This window comes from Homo sapiens, chromosome 3 (assembly GCF_000001405.40).
Source record: "Homo sapiens chromosome 3, GRCh38.p14 Primary Assembly".
Lineage (NCBI taxonomy): Eukaryota > Metazoa > Chordata > Mammalia > Primates > Hominidae > Homo > Homo sapiens.
Genome location: NC_000003.12, coordinates 56939682 through 56962895, shown reverse-complemented (window position 1 = coordinate 56962895; position 23214 = coordinate 56939682). Strand labels below are relative to the sequence as shown.

The 23214-nt window shown below is 43.0% G+C and overlaps 1 protein-coding gene and 1 long non-coding RNA gene across 15 annotated transcripts in view; one reads left to right on the top strand and one right to left on the bottom strand.

The window, feature by feature from the left end:
* The window catches only part of ARHGEF3 (Rho guanine nucleotide exchange factor 3), a 351849-nt gene that overhangs the window by 116373 nt on the left and 212262 nt on the right, over positions 1 to 23214 (top strand). For all 14 annotated transcript variants that reach the window (NM_001377411.1, NM_001377410.1, XM_017006503.2 and 11 more), the window contains one exon: positions 4007 to 4073. In NM_001377411.1, the coding sequence (NP_001364340.1) occupies positions 4038 to 4073 (36 nt within the window). In that variant the 5' untranslated portion in view covers positions 4007 to 4037. The remainder of the gene's footprint in view (positions 1 to 4006; positions 4074 to 23214) is intronic.
* ARHGEF3-AS1 (ARHGEF3 antisense RNA 1) lies at positions 2042 to 22856 on the bottom strand. The gene is made up of 3 exons (NR_046572.1): positions 22719 to 22856; positions 22240 to 22315; positions 2042 to 2316 (listed from the first exon to the last, which is right to left on the bottom strand). It is a non-coding gene; the product is annotated as an ARHGEF3 antisense RNA 1 (long non-coding RNA).

Sequence of the window (23214 nt, the reverse complement as noted above, 5' to 3'; positions counted from 1 at the left end):
ATGGTGGGAAAATAAATTCTGCACTAACCCTAAGGCCTATTGCTGCTGACCTTATTCTGTTTGATTCCAGACACATACACTTGAATTTGAGATCATTCCCTAACTGAACCTTGAATGCTGATTTTTCTCTGCTACTGTGGGCATTTCTCCATTTCTATTATGAGCTTTCCCAAGGGTGGGGAGCTTGTGGCTTTTCTTTCCCACCTTTTGTAAGGTTGTAACCTCCCTCCACAATAGCAGCCCCCCAACTCCAACCCCTCCAACAATCTTGGAAGTTTCTCTCTTGCTGCTCACCCATCCCTGGCTTTCCTGTGAATCCCTCTATGGAAGTGGTCATACTTATCCTTGTGACATCTGTGAGACACTGGGAAATGCTGCCTAGACAGAAGGCTGTGCTTTGTAACCATGTGTGTACACCATGCACAGCCTGCTCACATGAGGAGCCTGAGGGCTGGACACAGACGATAGACACGCCCTCCAAGCCTTGTTCAGAAGCTCAGCTGAGTGTCTTTGTGTCTGGGAAACCTGCAGCATCAAGTGCTATTTTCTCACTTGGACTTTTGCTGATTGTGCAAAATACTGCTTCTACAATAGAAGAAATATACCCAGGACTGAGAGGCCCCTCCTTTGGTGAGGACCTGGTGTTGGTGCTTCCGTGATGGTGCACTTTATGCTGCTAGGATCCTTCACCAGCTTCATCAAGAAGCCTTCTCATCAGTATGGTTCTCCTTCCCTGAATCTGTGCATTAAAGCCACCTGGGTGGTAGTGTTTGGCTGGGGAGAAGGAGGAAATTATCAGGAGGCTATTATGGTATCAGGATATAATTTTCAAACATTTGTTATTATTTTTAGAGACAGGGTCTCCCTCTGTCACCCAGGCTGGGGGGCAGTAATATGATCATAGCTCGTTGCAACCTCAAACTTCTGGGCTTAAGCAATCTTCCTACCTCAGCCTCCCAAGTGGTTGGGACTACAGGCAGGCACCACAATGCCCAGCTAATTTGTTTTTATTTTTAGCGGAGATGGTGTTTCCCTATGTTGCCCAGGCTGGTCTTGAACTCTTGCCTTCAAGTGATCCTCCCACCTTGGCCTCCCAAAATGCTGGGATTACAGGCATGAGTCTTGTGCCTGGCCTAGAATTGTTAAGAGGGACTGTAGCTAATGTGAATGACCGGAAGCCTGAATGGTGGTGGGATGAGAGGAAGGTGGGAGCTAACAATTAGGGACAGCCCTTCTCTCGGTAGGTCTCCTGGCAGCTTCTCCAGCTGACAGGGACACTTAAGTTGCCCAACAGTATCCCGAATGGACAGATTTGCTCTGATGCTTTTTCTTTGGCTATGAGGCCTGATGGTGGGAAGCCCTGCTAAGCTGCTGCCCTCCCACAAGGAACCCCCAGGCAGCTTTCTTTCAGGGGTATGCTTTGCCCTGTTTGGGGGGACTTCTCTTCATGTGAGAGGGACTGCATCCTCTGGATCTGGAGTCAGACACATCTGGGTTTGAATCCCAAATTGGCCACCAAATAGCTGTGTGACTTCTGGCATGTGGTTTAACCTCTCTGAGCCTCAGTTTATCTCATCTATAAAATGCAGTAGTGACAATGTTCCCACTATATCATATTACATAATGTTATATAAAATTATGATGTAAGATTATTTATTTAAATGTATGTAATGCCATTATAATATATTGTGTATAAAATGTTATATAACACTGTTATAATGCTGTCTGTATGTCATGTATTTACATTATAACATAATAAGCTACCTTATAAGATTATTGTGAGACTTAGAGTACCTAAAGTGCTTAGTCCTGGGCACATCTGTAATTGAATCTGTGTTAATTATTGTGATAATTGACATTATGTGTGATCTTCTGTGGATTGCAACATGTAAGATAAAGACACATTTACTCAGAATGTTCTGGTATATATTGTTACTTTAGAAGCAATGAATTCCATCAAATAGTTAGGAAAGCAAAGCCCAGTTATGACTGAGAGGGAAGGGAGTGGTATCCAGGGAGAAGTATTGTTGAAATCCAAAAATTTTGTTTTAAAACAGACATTTATTTTCAGAAGGACTTAGGCCAACATGTAACTTAATGGAGAAGGGTATGAAACATAAATAACCACCCACATGTTCTCTGTCTTGCGATCTTATTAGCCTGGGTTTTTATTGCTTACGTGTGGGTGAAGAGGAGGTTGAGGCAGGAGGGGGCCTGGTTTAAAGGCACATCAGGTGGGAGTTCCCATAGTTTTGGTGAGTTGCCCTGGCTCTTCTGTGTCAGCCCTGCATCCTGGGTTGAATGCTGTTCTTGGAGCTAGGTGTTGAGAGAGAAAGGGGGACAGGGGCACCACGCTGACAGCTGGTAAAAACAGCAATGACAGAACCAGAGTTAGAGTCCTCATCTCATCTTGACTCAACACAGAGGGTATTATTTCCCCTGTTTTGCATGTAAGAAAACCAAAGCTCAAGAAATTAAGCCTCGTGTTCAGAGTCACAGCGCTAATAAACACCATGGTATTTGAGGTCAGACAACTAAGAACAGAATCCCAATTTCATCTGTGTGATCAGAATCAAAGCACTTAATATCCCTAGGCGTCAGTGCTCTTATCTATAAAATGGGTACAATAATGCATCCTAACTCACAGGGTGAGAGTCATGGGATTAACTATGTAAAATATTAGCATATGCTTTTTAAAGTGCTCAGTATTGGTTAGTTGCTGCTATTATTGTAATTACCTTGTATTTTATCTCTTTTGTATGGTAGAGCAATCAAGATTTTTACTCAGCTCTAACATACCACAAAGCCTGTACACTGGTCACTACATGCTTTCTGCCTTGCATTATTGCTGATTACAGCAGAAAGGTCAAGGTAAAAGTGACTATTGTGTAACCAACCTTTTGGGGTTTGTTTGTTTCTGAGATGGAGTCTCGCTCTGTCACCCAGGCTGAGTGCAGTGGTGCAATCTCGGCTCACCGCAACCTCTGCCTCCCGGGTTCAAGCGATTCTCCTGCCTCAGCCTCCCGAGTAGCTGTGATCACAGGTGCCCACCAGCATGCCTGGCTAATTTCTGTATTTTTAGTAGAGATGGGGTTTCACCATGTTTGCCAAGCTGGTCTTGAACTCCTGACCTCAAGTGATCTGCCTGTTTCGGCCTCCCAAAGTGCTGGGATTACAGACGTGAGCCACCGCACCTGGCCAGCCTTTTGGTACATCAGTGACTAAAGCCCCAGGAAAAGTCCAAGGTGGATGCTTTTCAGAGATGCTTTTCAGCAAACATGAAATCTGAATATCCATATTGACAGACATCACATGTTTTAGGGGAGTAATTTATCCATAAAAATATTGAAAAAGGTATTCCTGTAGTTATATTGGCAGCTACAAAATTTGATTAGGAGACAGAAATAAGGTGCTTCTGGTGTGCCTGGAGTCTCTTTGTGCTGGTCTGTCTTGAAGCTGCCTCCACTGCCTCTAAGGAAATTGATTCATGTTGAGAGGTTAACAGGTGAGGAAACCAGTTTCAGCTTGTTACGCGGGGGCTAAATGTCCCGTTGATGGTTGCTTTAAAAACCTGGAGCTCAAATGTACCCCTTGTTGGAACTCCCCAGCATGTCTGTGTGACAAGGGAGAGTTCCAGGCTGAGCTGAAGCTATACATCTCCTGATAGTGTCCATGTGGGAATTGAGTCTATGTGAAAATTCAAGACAAAGATTGGGAGTCTGGTCTGACTTTTTTATTGCATCCAGGTTGCGTGTTAGATTTTATTTTACTTTATACAGATGAAGGGCTATTTTAAGGGACTCTGGGACTTTCCTGCTGGGGAACTGAGAAGGAGTTTGGGGTGAATTTGGCTGCTGAAGATTGCAGAGCTGTTGAAAACTCCATCCACCTTGTTTGGGCCATTTCTTGAGGCATCTCTCTTTTTGATAAACCTGCATTTGAAAGCAGTGACTTCCTCTGAATATCCAACCACTGAATAATGAATACATTGTCTTTTCTCTTCTAGGCCTAAACGGCAGCGGCAAAACAACTTTCCCATGTTTCCCTCTCCTAAAGCCTGGAATTTCAGAGGGGTAAGTGTTGCCCTGGGTAGCCCCTGCTGTTAAATGTCCTATTATGGATACATGCTCTGGCCTCCAGAACGGACGCTGTTAGGGTTGGTTTTACTAATCAAAGTCTCCATCAGGAGCGCATCTGTGCTTTACCACTTGGGGAAGTCACACTTGAATCAGTGGTTGTGGGTTAAGTAAAAACTCCAAGTGGTGGCCAGGCGTGATAGCTCATGTCTGTAATCCCAGCACTTTGGGAGGCCAATGTGGGAGGATCGCTTGAGCCTAGGAGTTTGAGACCAGCCTAGGCAACATGGCGAAGCTGCTACTCTACAAAAAAAAATATGAAAATTAGCTGGGCACGGTGGCATGTGCCTGTAGTCCTAGCTACTCAGGAGGCTGAGGTGGGAGGATCACTTGAGCCCAGGAGACGGAGGTTGTGGTGAGCTGAGATCATGCCACTGCACTCCAGCCTGTGCAACAGAACGAGACTCTGTCTAAAATTAAAAAAAAAAAAAAAAAAAAAATTCAAGTGGCCCAGTAAGCTTCTGCTGACATTCACCTGCCCTGAGGGTCTTGGGCTGCAGGAAGCATCTTGTGAAGAAGCTAAGAAGTGTCAAGGTTGCTGAGGCAGGCATTGGGGCTGTTTTCTTTGGAACCTGGAGGGAACCAGTGTACAATGAAGGAAAAAAGAAATCAGAAATGTAGAGTTTATTAATCTGTAGATTTATGCCTTCACAGGGAGCTTTGTTTTCCAGAAGGAGAAGTCTGTAAGCTTTAAACAGATTTTAGGAATCATAAAATTTGACCAAGCACAAAGCAATCAACCTTGCTTGGGAGATATAGAGGTATAGGAAGGGTCAGATTGAACTTCTTGATGCAAGGTTGTCTTCCTCAGCATAATAGTGATGATAATAATAATAATAGCCACAGTGTATGGAGGTCCTGCTGTGTGCTAAAGTGAATTCTAGCGCTAATCTCAGGAGCAAAACTTGCATCTGTAGAGAATGCTCTGAGCTCTTTTTCACTTCCAGGCCTTTGCACATGTTCCTTCTGCCTAGAGCACTCTCTTTGCCTAGCACCACACTCCTACACACACTGCTCCGGGCCCACACACTTTACCCACTGGGTCTCAGCCTTGACATCACCTCCTCTTGGAAGAAGCCCTCATGACCACCCCCTGAATCTGAGTTCCTGAATCTCCTATGTACCCCTGCAGTTTCTTACTATTGTGCTTAGTCCTTACTGAAATTTAAGATTGGAAGACTCAGGCATGAAGAGTGTAGCAACCTTGTCTTTCTCTCTTGTTCACTACTGTATCTCTGGGCCTAGTACAGTGCCTAGCACATGTATGCTTAATTAATTTGTCAGATGAATGAATGGAATGAATGAATACCTTTCTCACATCCATCTGATACCAAATACTTTTCTTGCATCCATCCACATGTTACCTTTAGATTGCGTTTCAAGTTCAGGTCTTTAGTCTTTTTAATACTGTTCTGACTGGTTCTATTCACACTTTAAAATCTTGTATAGATCTCAGTCATTTTCTCCAAGTGTCTTATTAAAAATAAATATAGATCATGGAACTATTTTAGCTCAGGTTACAATATGCTTTTTATTGAGTACAAAGAGAAATGTGTTGACTTCTGAAATAGATGTGCATGTCTTACTGAATGCAAGTCATGCACTTCCTAAGTCATTTATGGTTTTGTGGGTAGGATCTCCATTTCTCAAAGTGTATCCAGTTGTGTGATCATAACCATTAAGTACAAAAGGCTTGTGTGGTCAGATCTATTTGGGACATACTGAGTGTATTAAACTAAATATGCTCGCTACTGCAGGGCTTCTCAGAGCCTTTGAAGTGTTGATGTACGTGGAGACTCCATAAGGAGAACTGGTGGAGTTTGTAGCATTTCCCGAAGTCATTGATCATGAAATCCCTTGTTGACCAAGTAGATTGTATGCACTTTGGAATAGCTGACATTAACAGTCAATTTTGAACTATAGAGAAATTAGATCTCTTGTGAGCAAGTTAGCCTTTTTGAAGGCCTTTGTTTTCAGTGCTTGCCCTATCCATCCTCCCTTCAGTATTGCTCCCCTTCTGCTCCAACAATGGTCATTAGCCAAGGCTTGTGGGTACACGTGGAGTGACCAACCATCCAAGTTTGCCCAGGGACTGTCCTGGGTTGAGCACTGAAAGTCCTGCACATCATGAAATTCCCTGGAACCAGGCTAACTGGGACAATTGATTACCCCACCTATGGCCACGAGACCTCTTCAACTGTTTTCCCTTGAAAAATGTTCTGTGAATTTTTAAGCACGACTCTGGTTTATAGAACTTGTTACTCAAAGGAACCTGTTAGATACATACTTGGTTTAAGTGACCCTCTGTTTGCCCCATCCTTGCCAAATCTCTCTAACACAACAGTCACATTAATTTGCTGGGCACTGTGGCACACACCTGTAATCTTAGGGACTCAGGAAGATTAGGCAGGAGGATTGCTTGAGCCCAGGAGTCTGAGTCTAATCTGAGCAACACAGCAAGACTCTGTCTCAATAAATAAATAAAATTTAAAAAAAAGTAATAATTCACTGCAGGAAAACAAACAAACAAAAAAAAAAAAAACACCAACCCTGCCCCTGGCTAATTGCAACCAAGTGGGTTTCAGAGTTCAATGCAATGTTGACTTCAGGTTCAGCCCTCAAGTTCTTAGCTAGCTCACAAGATTTTCCCAAACAGCAAAAGTTGTCAGTTAGGTGATTAGGCCATTTGTGATGTTTATCTTGATCTCCTGTCCTTGCCTTGATTTCTTCTGGGCCCTGAGGCTTATTGGTAAAATTAGACAAACTGACATCAAGATATACCAGAGGGAGACAGTTCAGGGCCTGGCCAAAGGCCAGATTCCTCCTTGGCCAAAACTGATCTCTCTTTGCCTCAGAGTGTAATCCACAGTGACATGGTCGGGGATTGGGGAAGGGAACCCAACCAAGTGGAAACACCCTCACTCCCAGCCAGGACACACTTTGTAATTGTCATTATGGTAATTAAAATTGAAGAACGAGAAGGATGCAGAATGTCAGGATGAAGACATGTGAGGCATCATCTAGCTGACACATCTTCTGTAATGAAATCTGACTCCCAGGTCTGTTAGGCCAGGATGTGCATGCTGTTCTAGGGCAGGGTGTGCTTTTTGTGAACACTCTGCTTTCTTCTTTATTTAGAAAGGGAGGTTTCAGAATCTCTATGCTAGCAAATTTTCCACATTTATGTATGTGTCGGAGAAAGCCATTGTATTATCAGCATTTGCAATTTCATTCCTCTTGCAAAGAAAAGGGATCCAGGCCGGGCGCAGTGGCTCATGCCTGTAATCCCAGCACTTTGGGAGGCTGAGGCAGGAGAATCATTTGAGCCCAGGAGTTCAAGACCAGCCTGGGCAACAAAGCAGGACCCTGTCTCTGAAAACAGAAACAAACCCCAAAATTAGCTGGGCGTGATGACCTATTCCTGTAGTCCAAGCTACCAGGGAAGCTGAGGTGGGAGGATCACTTGAGCCCAGGAGTTTAAGCCTGCAGGGAGCGATGGTTGCACCTCTGCACTCTAGCTTGGGCAACAAAGAGAGACCTTGTCTCAAGAAAAAAAAAGAAAAGAAAAAAAAAAAAAAGAAAAAGGATCAGTGTTTGTTCACCAATGTCCTAGGCACTTGTGAATTTAAGGGGATGGGGTGGGGGACGAGGTGATGGTGAGAAATGGTTTGGAAAAGGCAAGAGAAGAAGGAACCATATTGCTCTCGAGGAGAGGTACAGTGGGAGAAGCTGGTAGGCAAGATCTGGGTGGCTGAGGAGCAGACTTTTTGGGAGAAGAGAGATTTCAAAATAACTTTAAAGAAAGTCTTGCTGAGTGAGTTGTATTGCACCCCCGTCTTTGTTTTCCCTGGAAACATTCCCTGCAGACCTCCATTAGTCCTCAGACATTAGGAGTTGCATTTGTGTTTTTCCTTTTTTATGCTGGAGTGTTTGGCTGTAGAGAGGCTCAGAAAAGGCTATTGACACTCATATTACATATCCCCTCTCCTTACCAAGTGGTTTAGCCCTTTCCCGGATTGTCATCTTCATTAATTGCAGGGTGCATTCTGCCCTTCAGTTCCCATGCTTGTCTAAGGAGACAGAGGCCCTGGGTGTTACCAACCCTCCAGGACTTTCCCACCCTCCTGAGCAAGGTGTGGCACTGTGCCCACCACTTACCAGACCCATAGGTGCTGCAGATGCATTCACCAAGAGAAGCAGAGAGGATGGTTTAGGGTGGAGTGGACATGGAAGGAACAGTAGGAGAAAACCTCACAGAATGGGAGGAATGAGAAGGCTGAGAGAGGAGGAACCCTGGGGGGTGTCTCGCTGTGAGGCAGCTTCTCCATCAGGTACTCACTGCACATCTGCTCCCATCTGGTTGGGGCAGTGCTGAGCTCAGAGTCCAGAATTTCCACCCTTCCTTGTGAAAATATTTGCTGCAGCTCCTCCTGTTGGGGTGGGGTGGAGGCACTGAGGCTCAAGGAAGACACACACCCTAGAGCTGTGAAAGTCTCTGGAACACAGCTCCTGCCATTGCCTGTAAGTTAACTAGGAAATGCTTAACCAGGACCTGCTGTGAAAGGCATTGTTTTAGGTGCCAGAACTGAGGTTTTAATTAAATACAGACCAAATTTCAGAGCCCTTTTTGTCTTGTCTCCTTCTCCAGTGCCTGGTCTTTACTTTTGTCTAGTCCATTTGAGAAGATTTTCTAGACTCTGGGGCTTAGAAGTAACTTTGGACATTGTAGCCCTGACCTTTTAATATTTAGACAAAGAAAATGAGACCTTGTATATTAGTCAGGACTCTGGGTTATAAGTGATAGAAACTCAGTTAAAACTAGCTCAAGTATAAAGGGAATTGGTTGCTTATGTGACTGAGGGAAACTGAGGTGGGTAAGCTTCAGGCACAGCTGTTTCCAGGTGTATTCCTTTTCTCAGCTTTGCCACTCTCTTGGTTTGTCTTCTCCTACTGCAGATGGATGTTTTTGAAGGAACAGGGTGACCATAAATGGCCACACATTTCCAGAGGCAAGAGAGATTTGCTTCCAGGATCCATCTATGAAATCCCAGTGTAGGACTCTGATTGTCTGGGCTTGGGTCACATAGCTATGCCTCGGCCAATCGCTATGGTCAAGAAGATGGGGTACTTTGATTAGACAGGCCTTGGTCACATGCCTCCCTCCATAGTCAGGGAGCCAGGTGGACAGGGCTCTGTAACTGGTAGCTCCACTGGAGCCACTTGAGGTGGGGAAGGGGCAGCTGCTCAAAGAAAGAGTTTGGTGTTGTTACCAAAAGGGACTCTGTTTCCTGGACAGCCAGAAAATAATGGAGCCCACTCCTAAGGGTCACTCACAGTGGAGAGATCAGGACTAGAACCTTGTCTTTTGACAAGAGGTCCTCAACCTTCTCCACACTGCCTTGACCCATTCCATTCTCCGTGTATAGAAGGAAGTTGCCAAAACCTCATTGTAGCCAAATGTTTCTTGAAGGTCAGATGGAGAGTTGCTCTGAAATTCACAACTCAGTAAAGTGACAGAGTCTCTAATGCTCACAACACACCAGGCCAGGTCAGTATGTATTGTGGCTTTACCATCTCTACACTGCAAAAGAAGCCAGCAAGCCTTTCACTTCTCTTGCAGGCTCAGTTTGTGCATTTACTTTTGTTGACTGAACGTCAGTCCCAGGCCAGGCTGTGGCAGTCCCGCCTGGTAGATAGTATGTATTCCCAGTCCAAAGATGGGGAAACAGAGCCCCACCCCTGCTATTTGCCTAAAGTACAGGTGTAGTAATTGGCAGAGTCAGCATTTGAATGCAGGACTTTCTGTTCCCAGGCCGTTAGAGTATATTACCTCTTTAAAACAAGGCTGATGACACCTACTTGTCCTCAAAGGAGGTTAGACGTGAAGAACTTTTTAAAAGATCTTTTTTAAACTTTTCATCACCTTGATTTCCTTCTACTCTCTTCGACTTTATTTTAAACCTTTTAATCTTCCCTACTAGATGTATGAAAAAATGATTTGTTACCCCAACTTTGTAATGGTAATTACTAAAACAATAGCAATAACTTCATTTATCCCAGGTATCTAACCCCTGGCATTCACTTACATTTTACCTGGCACTGTGTTGAGCATTTTACGCATATATTACTTCTCAGAAAAATCTTAAGAGGTGGGTATAGTTTCAGCCTCATCTTCATTTTATAAATGAGAAAATACAGTACCTTAATATTCTACTGCTGAGTAACAAATTATTATAAATTTAGCAGCTTAAACAGCAGTTGTTCACTAGCTTGGAGTTCTGTGGATTAGAAGTTAGGGCATGGTGTAAGTGAGTTCTCTGCCCAAGATCTCCTGAGACTGAAATCAAGCTGTCAGTCAGGGCTAGAGTTTCATCTGAGGCCTGGGGTCTTCTTCCAAGTTCATTTGGGCTGTTGGAAGAATTCAGTTCCTTGTGGTTGTCAGGAGGTTCTCATTTCCTTGCTGGCTGTCAGCTTGGGGTCGCTGTCAGAGAGCTTGCCATGTCATCTTCAAAGTCAGCAATGGAGAATCTCCCTCACACCACATCCATTCATGCTTCAGATGTCTCTGACTTGAGGAAGAGCCAAATTCCTTTTAAGGGCTCATCAGACTAAATTAGGCCCACTCAGATGATCTCTCTCTTGATGATCTAAAAGCCAATGATTAGTTACCCAATCATGGGGGTGATATCCCATGACATTACTAGGTTCTGATTGCACCCAAGGGGAGAGGATTATACAAGGTGTATACACTAGAGGATGGGAATCTTGGGGACCATCTTAGAATTTTGCCTACCACACAGAGGTTTAGAGAAGGGAATAACTTGCCTAGAGTCACACAACAGGTAAGTGGTGAAGCTAGGATTCGAACCTGACCTCACCTCATTCCAAAGCACATGTTCTTGGCCAGCATCTGTTTGGAACTTTTCTTTTGTATGAAATTATTTGCAAGTGGGGAGAATATTTGCAATATTCACCTCATACTAACCTCTAACATACAGAGGACTCTTGGAAAACAGTAACACAAATTTGAAAATCTAATAGGAAAACAGTTAATGGATCAGAATAGGCAGCATAGAAGAGAAAATACATAGGACCAGTAATCCGAGTCAAATTGTGCATTCTAACTAATAATATACAAATATTTTTAAATTATGAAAGTGCAGGCACACCCCAGAGACATTGCTGGTTCAGTTCCAGACCACCACAATGAAGTCAATAGGGCAATAAAGTGAGTTACATGGATGTTTTGGTTTCCCAGTGCATATAAAAGTTATGTTTACACTATACTGTAGTCTATTAAGTGTGTAATAGCATTATGTCTAAAATATATATATCTTAATTTAAAAATACTTCAATGCAAAAAATGCTAATGATCATCTTGCCTCAATGATGATGGCTGCTGATGGATCAGGGTGGTGGTTACTGAAGGCTGGGGTGGCTGTGGCAATTTCTTTCTTTTTTTTCTTTCCTTTCTTTTTTTTTTTATACTTTAAGTTTTAGGGTACATGTGCACAACGTGCAGGTTAGTTACATATGTATACATGTGCCATGTTGGTGTGCTGCACCCATTAACTTGTCATTTAACATAGGTATATCTCCTAATGCTATCCATCCCCCCTCCCCCCACCGCACAACAGGCCCCGGTGTGTGATGTTCCCCTTCCTGTGTCCATGTGTTCTCATTGTTCAATTCCCACCTATGAGTGAGAACATGCCGTGTTTGGTTTTTTGTCCTTGCGATAGTTTGCTGAGAATGATGGTTTCCAGCTTCATCCATGTCCCTACAAAGGACATGAACTCATAACTTTTTATGGCTGCATAGTATTCCGTGGTGTGTATGTGCCACATTTTCTTAATCCAGTCTATTGTTGTTGGACATTTGGGTTGGTTCCAGGTCTTTGCTATTGTGAATAGTGCTGCAATAAACATACGTGTGCATGTGTCTTTATAGCAGCATGATTTATAATCTTTTGGGTATATACCCAGTAATGGGATGGCTGGGTCAAATGGTATTTCTAGTTCTAGATCCCTGAGGAATCGCCACACTGACTTCCACAATGGTTGGACTAGTTTACAGTCCCACCAACAGTGTAAAAGTGTTCCTATTTCTCCACATCCTCTCCAGCACCTGTTGTTTCTGACTTTTTAATGATCGCCATTCTAACTGGTGTGAGATGGTATCTCATTGTGCTTTTGATTTGCATTTCTCTGATGGCCAGTGATGATGAGCATTTTTTCATGTGTCTTTTGGCTGCATAAATGTCTTCTTTTGAGAAGTGTCTGTTCATATCTTTTCCCACTTTTTGATGGGGTTGTTTCTTTTTTTCTTGTAAATTTGTTTGAGTTCATTGTAGATTCTGGATATTAGCCTTTTGTCAGATGAGTAGATTGCAAAAATTTTCTGCCATTCTGTAGGTTGCCTATTCACTCTGATGGTAGTTTCTTTTGCTGTGCAGAAGCTCTTTAGTTTAATTAGATCCCATTTGTCAGTTTTGGCTTTTGTTGCCCTTGCTTTTGGTGTTTTAGACATGAAGTCCTTGCCCATGCCTATGTCCTGAATGGTATTGCTAGGTTTTCTTCTAGGGTTTTTATAGTTTTAGGTCTAACATTTAAGTCTTTAATCCATCTTGAATTAATTTTTGTATAAGGTGTAAGGAAGGGATCCAGTTTCAGCTTTCTACATATGGCTAGCCAGTTTTCCCAGCACCATTTATTAAATAGGAAATCGTTCCCCCTTTTCTTGTTTTTGTCAGGTTTGTCAAAGATCAGATGGTTGTAGATATGCGGCATTATTTCTGAGGGCTCTGTTCTGTTCCATTGGTCTATATCTCTGTTTTGGTACCAGTACCATGCTGTTTTGGTTACTGTAGCCTTGTAGTATAGTTTGAAGTGAGGTAGCATGATGCCTCCAGCTTTGTTCTTTTGGCTTAGGATTGACTTGGCAATGCAGGCTCCTTTTTGGTTCCATATGAACTTTAAAGTAGTTTTTTCCAATTCTGTGAAGAAAATCATTGGTAGCTTGATGGGGATGGCATTGAATCTATAAATTACCTTGGGCAGTATGGCCATTTTCACGATATTGATTCTTCCTACTCATGAGCATGGAATGTTCTTCCATTTGTTTGTGTCCTCTTTTATTTCATTGAGCAGTGGTTTGTGGTTCTCCTTGAAGAGGTCCTTCACGTCCCTTGTAAGTTGGATTCCTAGGTATTTTATTCTCTTTGAAGCAATTGTGAATGGGAGTTCACTCATGATTTGGCTCTCTGTTTGTCTATTATTGGTGTATAAGAATGCTTGTGATTTTTGCACATTGATTTTGTATCCTGAGACTTTGCTGAAGTTGCCTATCAGCTTAAGGAGATTTTGGGCTGAGACGATGGGGTTTTCTAGATATACAATCATGTCATCTGCAAACAGGGACAATTTGACTTCCTCTTTTCCTAATTGAATAGCCTTTATTTCCTTCTCCTGCCTGATTGCCCTGGCCAGAACTTCCCAACACTATGTTGAATAGGAGTGGTGAGAGAGGGCATCCCTGTCTTGTGCCAGTTTTCAAAGGGAATGCTTCCAGTTTTTGCCCATTCAGTATGATATTGGCTGTGGGTTTGTCATAGATAGCTCTTATTATTTTGAGATACATCCCATCAATACCTAATTTATTGAGAGTTTTTAGCATGAAGGGCTGTTGAATTTTGTCAAAGGCCTTTTCTGCATCTATTGAGATAATCATATGGTTTTTGTCGTTGGTTCTGTTTTTATGCTGGATTACGTTTATTGATTTGCGTATGTTGAACCAGCCTTGCATCCCAGGGATGAAGCCCACTTGATCATGGTGGATAAGCTTTTTGATGTGCTGCTGGATTCAGTTTGCCAGTATTTTATTGAGGATATTTGCATCGATGTTCATCAGGGATATTGGTCTAAATTCTCTTTTTTTGTTGTGTCTCTGCCAGGCTTTGGTATCAGGATGATGCTGGCCTCATAAAATGAGTTAGGGAGGAGTCCCTCTTTTTCTGTTGATTGGAATAGTTTCAGAAGGAATGGTACCAGCTCCTCCTTGTACCTCTGGTAGAATTCGGCTGTGAATCCATCTGGTCCTGGACTTTTTTTGGTTGGTAAGCTATTAATTATTGCCTCAATTTCAGAGCCTGTTATTGGTCTATTCAGAGATTCAACTGCTTCCTGGTTTAGTCTTGGGAGGGAATATGTGTCGAGGAATTTATCCATTTCTTCTAGATTTTCTAGTTTATTTGCGTAGAGGTGTTTATAGTATTCTGTGATGGTAGTTTGTATTTCTGTGGGATCGGTGGTGATATCCCCTTTATCATTTTTTATTGCACCTATTTGATTCTTCTCTCTTTTCTTCTTTATTAGTCTTGCTAGTGGTCTATCAATTTTGTTGATCTTTTCAAAAAACCAGCTCCTGGATTCACTGATTTTTTGAAGGGTTTTTTATGTCTGTATCTCCTTCAGTTCTGCTCTGATCTTAGTTATTTCTTGCTTTCTGCTAGCTTTTAAATGTGTTTGCTCTTGCTTCTCTAGTTCTTTTAATTGTGATGTTAGGGTGTCAATTTTAGATCTTTCCTGCTTTCTCTTGTGGGCATTTAGTGCTATAAATTTCCCTCTACACACTGCTTTAAATGTGTCCCAGAGATTCTGGTATGTTGTGTCTTTGTTCTCGTTGGTTTCAAAGAACATGTTAATTTCTGCCTTCATTTCGTTATGTACCCAGTAGTCATTCAGGAGCAGGTTGTTCAGTTTCCATGTAGTTGAGCGGTTTTGAGTGAGTTTCTGAATCCTGAGTTCTAGTTTGATTGCACTGTGGTCTGAGAGACAGTTTGTTATAACTTCTGTTCTTTTACATTTGCTGAGGAGTGCTTTACTTCCAACTATGTGGTCAATTTTGGAATAAGTGCGGTGTGGTGCTGAGAAGAATGTATATTCTGTTGATTTGGGGTGGAGAGTTCTGTAGATGTCTGTTAGGTCTGCTTGGTGCAGAGCTGAGTTCAATTCCTCAATATCCTTGTTAACTTTCTGTCTCGTTGATCTGTCTGATGTTGACAGTGGGGTGTTAAAGTCTCCCATTATTATTGTGTGGCAGTCTAAGTCTCTTTCTAGGTCTCTAAGGACTTGCTTTATGAATCTGGATGCTCCTGTATTGGGTGCATATATATTTAGGATAGTTAGCTCTTCTTGTTGAATTGATCTCTTTACCATTATGTAATGGCCTTCTTTGTCTCTTTTGATCTTTGTTGGTTTAAAGTGTGTTTTATCAGAGACTAGGATTGCAACCCCTGCATTTTTTTGTTTTCCATTTGCTTGGTAGATCTTCCTCCATCCCTTTATTTTGAGCCTATATGTGTCTCTGCAGGTGAGATGGGTTTCCTGAATACAGCACACTGATGGGTCTTGAGTCTTTATCCAATTTGCCAGTCTGTGTCTTTTAATTGGAGCATTTAGCCCATTTACATTTAAGGTTAATATTGTTATGTGTGAATTTGATCCTCTCATCATGATGTTAGCTGATTATTTTGCTTGTTAGTTGATGCAGTTTCTTCCTAGCCTCGATGGTCTTTACAATTTGGCATGTTTTTGCAGTGGCTGGTACTGGTTGTTCCTTTCCATATTTAGTGCTTCCTTCAGGAGCTGTTTTAGGGCAGGCCTGGTGGTGACAAAATCTCTCAGCATTTGCTTGTCTGTTAAGGATTTTATTTCTCCTTCACTTCTGAAGCTTAGTTTGGCTGGATATGAAATTCTGGGTTGGAAATTCTTTTCTTTAAGAATGTCGAATATTGGCCCCCACTCTCTTCTGGCTTGTAGAGTTTCTGAGGAGAGATCAGCTGTTAGTCTGATGGGCTTCCCTTTGTGGGTAACCTGACCTTTCTCTCTGGCTGCCCTTAACATTTTTTCCTTCATTTCAACTTTGGTGAATCTTACAATTATGTGTCTTGGAGTTGCTCTTCTCGAGGAGTATCTTTGTGACATTGTCTGTGTTTCCTGAATTTGAATGTTGGCCTGCCTTGCTAGATTGGGGAAGTTCTCCTGGATAATATCCTGCAGAGTGTTTTTCAACTTGGTTCCATTCTCCCCATCACTTTCAGGTACACCAACCAGACGTAGAATTGGTCTTTTCACATACTCCCATATTTCTTGGAGGCTTTGTTCGTTTCTTTTTATTCTTTTTTCTCTAAACTTTTCTTCTCGCTTCATTTCATTCATTTGATGTTCCATCACTGATACCCTTTCTTCCAGTTGATCGAATCGGCTGCTGAGGCTAGTGCATTCATCACGTAGTTCTCATGCCTTTGTTTTCAGCTCCATCAGTCCTTTAAGGACTTCTCTGCATTGGTTATTCTAGTTAGCCATTTGTCTAATTTTTTTTCAAGGTTTTTAACTTCTTTGCCATGGGTTTGAACTTCCTCCTTTAGTTTGGAGTAGTTTGATCTTCTGAAGCCTTCTTCTCTCAACTCGTCAAAGTCATTCTCCATCCAGCTTTGTTCCATTGCTGGTGAGGAGCTGTATTCCTTTGGAGGAGGAGAGGCACTCTGATTTTTAGAGTTTCTAGATTTTCTGCTCTGTTTTTTCCCCATCTTTGTGGTTTTATCTACCTTTGGTCTTTGATGATGGTGACGTACAGATGGGGTTTTGGTGTGGATGTCCTTTCTGTTTGTTAGTTTTGCTTCTAACAGTCAGGACCCTCAGCTGCGGGTCTGTTGGAGTTTGCTGGAGGTCCACTCCAGACCCTGTTTGCCTGGGTATCAGCAATGGAGGCTGCAGAACAGCAGATATTGGTGAACAGCAAATGCTGCTGCCTGATCGTTCCTCTGGAAGTTTTGTCTGAGAGGAGTACCCGGCCGTGTGAGGTGTCAGTCTGCCCGTACTGGGGGGTGCCTCCCAGTTAGGTTACTCGGGGGTCAGGGACCCACTTGAGGAGGCAGTCTGTCCATTCTCAGATCTCCAGCTGCATGCTGGGAGAACCACTACTCTCTTCAAAGCTGTCAGACAGGGACATTTAAGTCTGCAGAGGATTCTGCTGCCTTTTATTTGGCTATGCCCTGCCCCTAGAGGTGGAGTCTACAGAGGCAGGCAGGTGTCCTTGAGCTGTGGTGGGCTCCACCCAGTTCGAGCTTCCTGGCTGCTTTGTTTACCTACTCAAGCATCAGCAATGGCAGGCGCCCCTCCTCCAGCCTTGCTGCTGCCTTGCAGCTGCCTTGCAGTTTGATCTCAGACTGCTGTGCTAGCAATGAGCGAGTCTCTGTGGGCGTAGGACCCTCCAAGCCAGGCACAGGATATAATCTCCTGGTGTGCCATTTGCTAAGACCGTTGGAAAAGCTCAGTATTAGGGTGGGAGTGACCCAATTTTCCAGGTGCCATCTGTCACCCCTTTCTTTTACTAGGAAAGGGAATTCCCTGACCCCTTGCACTTCCCGGGTGAGGCAATGCCTCACCCTGCTTCGGCTCACGCTCGGTGAACTGCATCCACTGTCCTGCACCCACTTTCCAACACTCCCCAGTGAGATGAACCCAGTACCTCAGTTGGAAACGCAGAAATCACCCGTCTTCTGCATCACTCATGCTGGGAGCTGTAGACTGGAGCTGTTCCTATTCAGCCATCTTGGCTCCACCCCTGGCAATTTCTTAAAATAAGATAACAATGACATTTGCTGCATTGATTGACTCTTTCCTTTCATGAAAGATTTCCTGTAGAATATGATGCATTTAACCCATAGGAGAACTTCCAAAATTGCAGTCATTCCTCTCAGATCCTGCAGCTTGCTTTATCAATTCAGTTTATGGAATATCCTAAATCCTTTGTTATCATTTCAAGAATGTTCACAGCATCTTTGCCACAAGTAGATTCTATCTCAAGAAACTACTTTTTGGCTGAGTGCGGTGGCTCACATCTGTAATTCCAGCACTTTGGGAGGCTGAGGTGGGTGGATCACTTGAGGTCAGGAGTTCAAGGCCAACCTGGCCAGCATGGTGAAACCCCGTCTCTATTAAAAATACAAAAATTAGCTGGACATGGTTGCGCAGGTGCCTGTCGTCCCAGCTACTTGGGAGGCTGAGGCAGGAGAATTGCTTGTACCCGGGAGGCAGAGGTTGCAGTGCCCTGAGATAGCACCACTGCATTCCAGCCTGAGCAAAAAAGTAAGACTTTGTCTCACAAAAAAAAAAAAAAAAAAAAAAAAGAAACCACTTTCTTTGCTCATCCATAAGAAGCAACTCCCCATCCGTTCAAGCTTTATCATGAGACTGCAGCAATTCAGTCACATTTTCAGGCTCTACTTCTAATTCTAGTTCTCTTGCTATTTTCACCACATCTGCAGTGACTTCCAACACGGAAGTCTTAAACCCCTCAATGTCATCCATGAGGGTTGGAATCAGCTTCTTCCAAAGTCCTGTTAATGTTGGAATTTTGACCTCTGTCCATGAATTGTGAATGTTCTTAATGGCATCTAGAATGGTGAATCCTTTACAGAAGATTTTCAATTTACTTTGCCCACAGCCACCAGAGGAAACACTGTCTATGGCACCTATGGCCTTAAGAGATGTTTTTGTTTTGTTTTGTTTTTGTTTTTTGTTTTGAGACTGAATCTCGCTCTGTCATCCATGCTGGAGTGCAGTGGAGTGATTTCGGCTCCCTGCAACCTCCACCTTTCGGGTTCAAGCAATTCTGCCTCAGCCGCCCGAGTAGCTGGGATTATAGGCGCCCGCCATCATGCCTGGCTAATTTTAGTATTTTTAGTAGAGATGGGGTTTCACCATGTGGCCAGGCTGGTCTCGAACGTCTGACCTCAAGTGATCCACCTGCCTCAGCCTTCCAAAGAGGTTTTTTTTTTTTTTGAGTCGGAGTCTCTCTCTGTCGCCCAGGCTGGAGTGCAGTAGCGCGATCCTGGCTCACTGCACCTCTGCCTCCCCGGTTCAAGTGATTCTCCTGCCTCAGCCTCCCGAGTAGCTGGGATTACAGGCACCCACCACCACACCTGGCTAATGTTTGTATTTTTAGTAGAGATGGGGTTTTATCGTGTTGGTCAGGCTAGTCTTGAACTCCTGACCTCAAGTGATTCGCCTGCCTTGTACTCCCAAAGTGCTGGGATTACAGTTGTGAACCACTGTGCCTGACCTAAAGAGATGTATTTTTTAAATAACAAACTTGAAAGTCAAAATGACTCCTCTGTCCATGGGCTGCAGAATTGATGTTGAGTTAGCAGGCATGAAAACAGCATTAATCTCCTTGTAGAGCTCTATCGAAGCTCTCGGGTGACCAGATGCATTGTCAGTGAGCAGTAATATTTTAAAAGTAATCTTTTTTTCTGAGCGGTAAGTCTCAAGAGTGGGCTTAAAATATTCAGTAAGTCATCCTGCAAACAGATGTGCTGCCATCCAGGCTTTGTTGTTCCCTTTATAGAGCACAGGCAAAGTAGATTTAGCATCATTCTTAAGAGCCCTGGGATTTTCAGAATGGTCAATGAGCATTGGCTTCAACTTAAAGTCACCAACTGCCTTAGCTCCTAATAAGAAAGTCATTCTGTCCTTTGAAGCTTTGAAGCCAAGCATTGACTTCTCTCTAGCTAGGAAAGCTCTAGCTGGCATCTTCTTCCAAGATAAGGCTTTTTCATCTACATTGAAAATCTGTTGTTTAGTGTCACCACCTTTGTCGATTATCATAGCCAGATCTTCTGGATAGCTTGCTGCAGCTTCTACATCAGGACTTGCTGCTTCATCTTGCACTTTTATGTTATGAAGACAGCTTCTTTCCTTAAACCTCATGAACTAACCAACCTCTGTTAGCTTCAAACTTTTCTTCTGCATCTTCCTCTCACCTTCATAGAATTGAAGAGAGTTAGGGCCTTGCTCTGGATTAGGCTTTGGCTTAGAGGAATGTTGTGGCTGGTTTGATCTTTTATCCACACCACTCAAACTTTCCCCCTATTAGCGATAAGGCTGTTTTGCTTTCTTATCTTTTTATGTGTTCACTGGAGTAGCACTTTCAATTTCCTTCAAGAACTTTTCCTTTGCACTTACAACTCGGCTGTTGGGTACAATAGGCCTAACTTTCAGCCTGCCTCAACTTTGGACATGCCTTCCTCACTAAGCTTAATCATTTCTAGCTTTTGACTTAAAGTGAGAGATAGGCAACTCTTCCTTTCACTTTAACACTTAGAGACCATTCTAGGGTTATTGAATGGCCTAATTTCAATATTAGTGTGTCTCAGGGAATAGGGAAGCCTGAGGAGAGGGAGAGAGATGGGATGGTTGGTTGATAGAGCAGTCAGAACACACACATTTATTGATTAAGCTCACCATCTTATATGAGGATGGTTCGTGGCACCCCAAAACAATTACAATAGTAACATCAAAGATGACTGGTCAGACATCACCGTAACAGATATGTAATAATGAAAAAGTTTGAACTATTGAATTTTGAGTGAACAAAATGTGATGCAGAGATGCAAATTGAGCACATACTGTTGGAAAAAATGGCACTGATAGATTTGCTCAATGCAGTTTTACCACAAACCTTCAGTTTGTGGCACCTGCAAAGTGCAATAAAGCCAAGTGCAGTAAAATGAGAGATCCTTGTAATAAAAACAATAGCAATAATAATGTATTTCATTTGTTAGCCTTTGGAATGTGCTAGCTACTGCTCCTAGTACTTTGCAAGTAATCACATTCCCCTACAGCACTATTTAGTCAATATTATTATTATCCCCAGTTTTCAAATGGGAAAACTTCTACCAGAATCATCCCCAAAGACCCACAGCAATTAAGTAGTGGATGTAGCTTTTGAACCCAGTCAGTCTGGTTTCAGAGCCTGTGTTCTCAACAATGTGATGATTGTAACAAGTGCAATTGATGCAGAGGCATATAATGTAAAGCATATATTTATAGGATTTAAACCATAACTAAAGAAAAGCACATTAAAACCATAAAAACTAAAGTGATCCCTTCTTACGGGGAAAAAATATATTAATATATACATAGAAAGAAGTCTCGTCACTGATGAACAACAATATGGAGTAGATGAAGTCCCAGAGAACTGTTGTTGTGTTAGTTACATATTTTTTATAAAGTCTGAATTTTTTAAAGAGAGTGTGTATTGCCTTTATAATTAGCAAAATAATACACGTAGAATAATTAAAAAAGAACTCCTTCCACAATCACAATCTTCCACAAGCAACAGGAGGCTTATATTAAAAGTTTCAGGTCTTAGAACACATCGGGGTGTTTCATTGAACATGTTCTGTGGGCCGGGCATCATGGCTCATGCCTGTAATCCCAGCACTTTGGGAGGCCAAGGCAGGTGGATCACTTGAGATCAGGAGTTTGAGACCAGTCTGGCCAACATGGCAAAACCCTGTCTCTACTAAAAATACAAAAATTAGCCAGATGTGTTGGCACACTCCTGGGACCCCAGCTGCTTGGGAGCCTGAGGCAGGAGAATTGCTTGAACCCAGGAGGCGGAGGTTGCAGTGAGCCAAGATCATGCCAGTGCACTCCAGCCTATGCGACAGAGCGAGACTCTGCCTCAAAAACAGAACATGTGCTGTGGCTAAGCCTCTGGGGACTGATGAAATCTGGGTACACAGAAGGGGCTGGCACATGCTGTGGTGTGCTCTGCAGTGCTTCAAGATGTTTGCCCCCACCTCCTCTCCCAGTTCTCCCCACCTCTCTGAGAGTCAGTCTAGAGGCTACTTCCATGCGCCCTTGGGGTTAGCAGTTTTATTGGTCAGCCCAGAGTCTGAGTTTGGTGGACAGTGCTTGGCAGCCATAACAAATGCTTAGATGGTGAAAAGGTATATGCTTTGGGGTCAGAATGCCAGATTGGGGGCTTCAGACACATTTCAGAGCATCGGGTCTCTTATCTGCAAAATAGGTATGGAAAATAATGCCATTTTCTGAAAACCAGAGACTTAGTAATTATGTGTGTAAAGTGACCCGAAGAATGTCTCTCATGTAGGTAAGCGCAGAAAATATTAGCTCCATATAACTAGGGTTCCTTTATTCCTGAGATGACTGTTTTCTAAAGATAAGTATTTAACAGATGCTTTTTTTTTTAAATGTGAGCTGCCCCCTCATAAAGGCAAAACCGACCATACCTGGGTTTCCACTTAGTCCTGCTTGTCTCATTTCCCTTCAGGCAGTAGAGAAGCCAGGCTGTATAGATCCTGACACCTGTGAGGGAAAGCTCACGTCATCTTCAACCTGCTGACACCAAAAATATGCCAGGAACATTGGAGCTCATTCTTAGATTCAAAGCCGTTTCTTTTTCTGGCCATATGTGAGGTCTGTGGGAGTTAACAGTAGGCTTGTGTGCCAGTTGAGCAGATTTGCATTTTTGAGTTTCTAGATGCCTGTTTATTTTATATAGTTATCGTTTTGATTAGTCCTTGCTTAGTCCCTTTTTGGTTCCAGAGTTATGCAGGGTAAAATATGCTTTTACTTTGGCCTTCTGGGTTAATTACAAAATCCTAGTTGCAAGTGACAGGAATTCAACTCAAATTAGCTTAAGGAGAGTTTTTAAAGGTACAGGGGTATGGGAAGTATTTCGTGGAATGCAGTGGAGGCTCAGAAGTACCTTGAACCAGGCACTGGAAGCCCATGAGGATTCTTGACTCCTCTCTGCTCTTAGCACTTTTGCTTGGCCAACTGACTTTTTCCATTTCTCAGTACAGTTGAAACACAGCCATCTACAGAGAGACAGCCTTCTCTCTCTCTCAGAGCCAGAATTACTAGGGAGGGATTCTGATTGGTCCAACTTGGATCAAGTGGATACTCTTGGACCAATCAGCAGTGGCCAGGGAGTGGGATTATGCTGTACCACCATGGTGACTCCTATGGTAACCATAGTAACAATGGGGGAGAAGGGGCAGTTTCTAGAAGGAGAAGGAGGCACTGGAGCAGATACAAATAATTCCTGCCTACAAAATTCTTCCCTATCTGTCCTCCTATCATAAAAGGTAATCATCCTGATTCCATTTTTTCCTGTCTGACTCCATGTGGGCAAAACTCCTAACTCCTCTTCTTTCATCTTTGGTTAGAAGCAGTCCATTTAGTTATTGATTTTTTTTCAA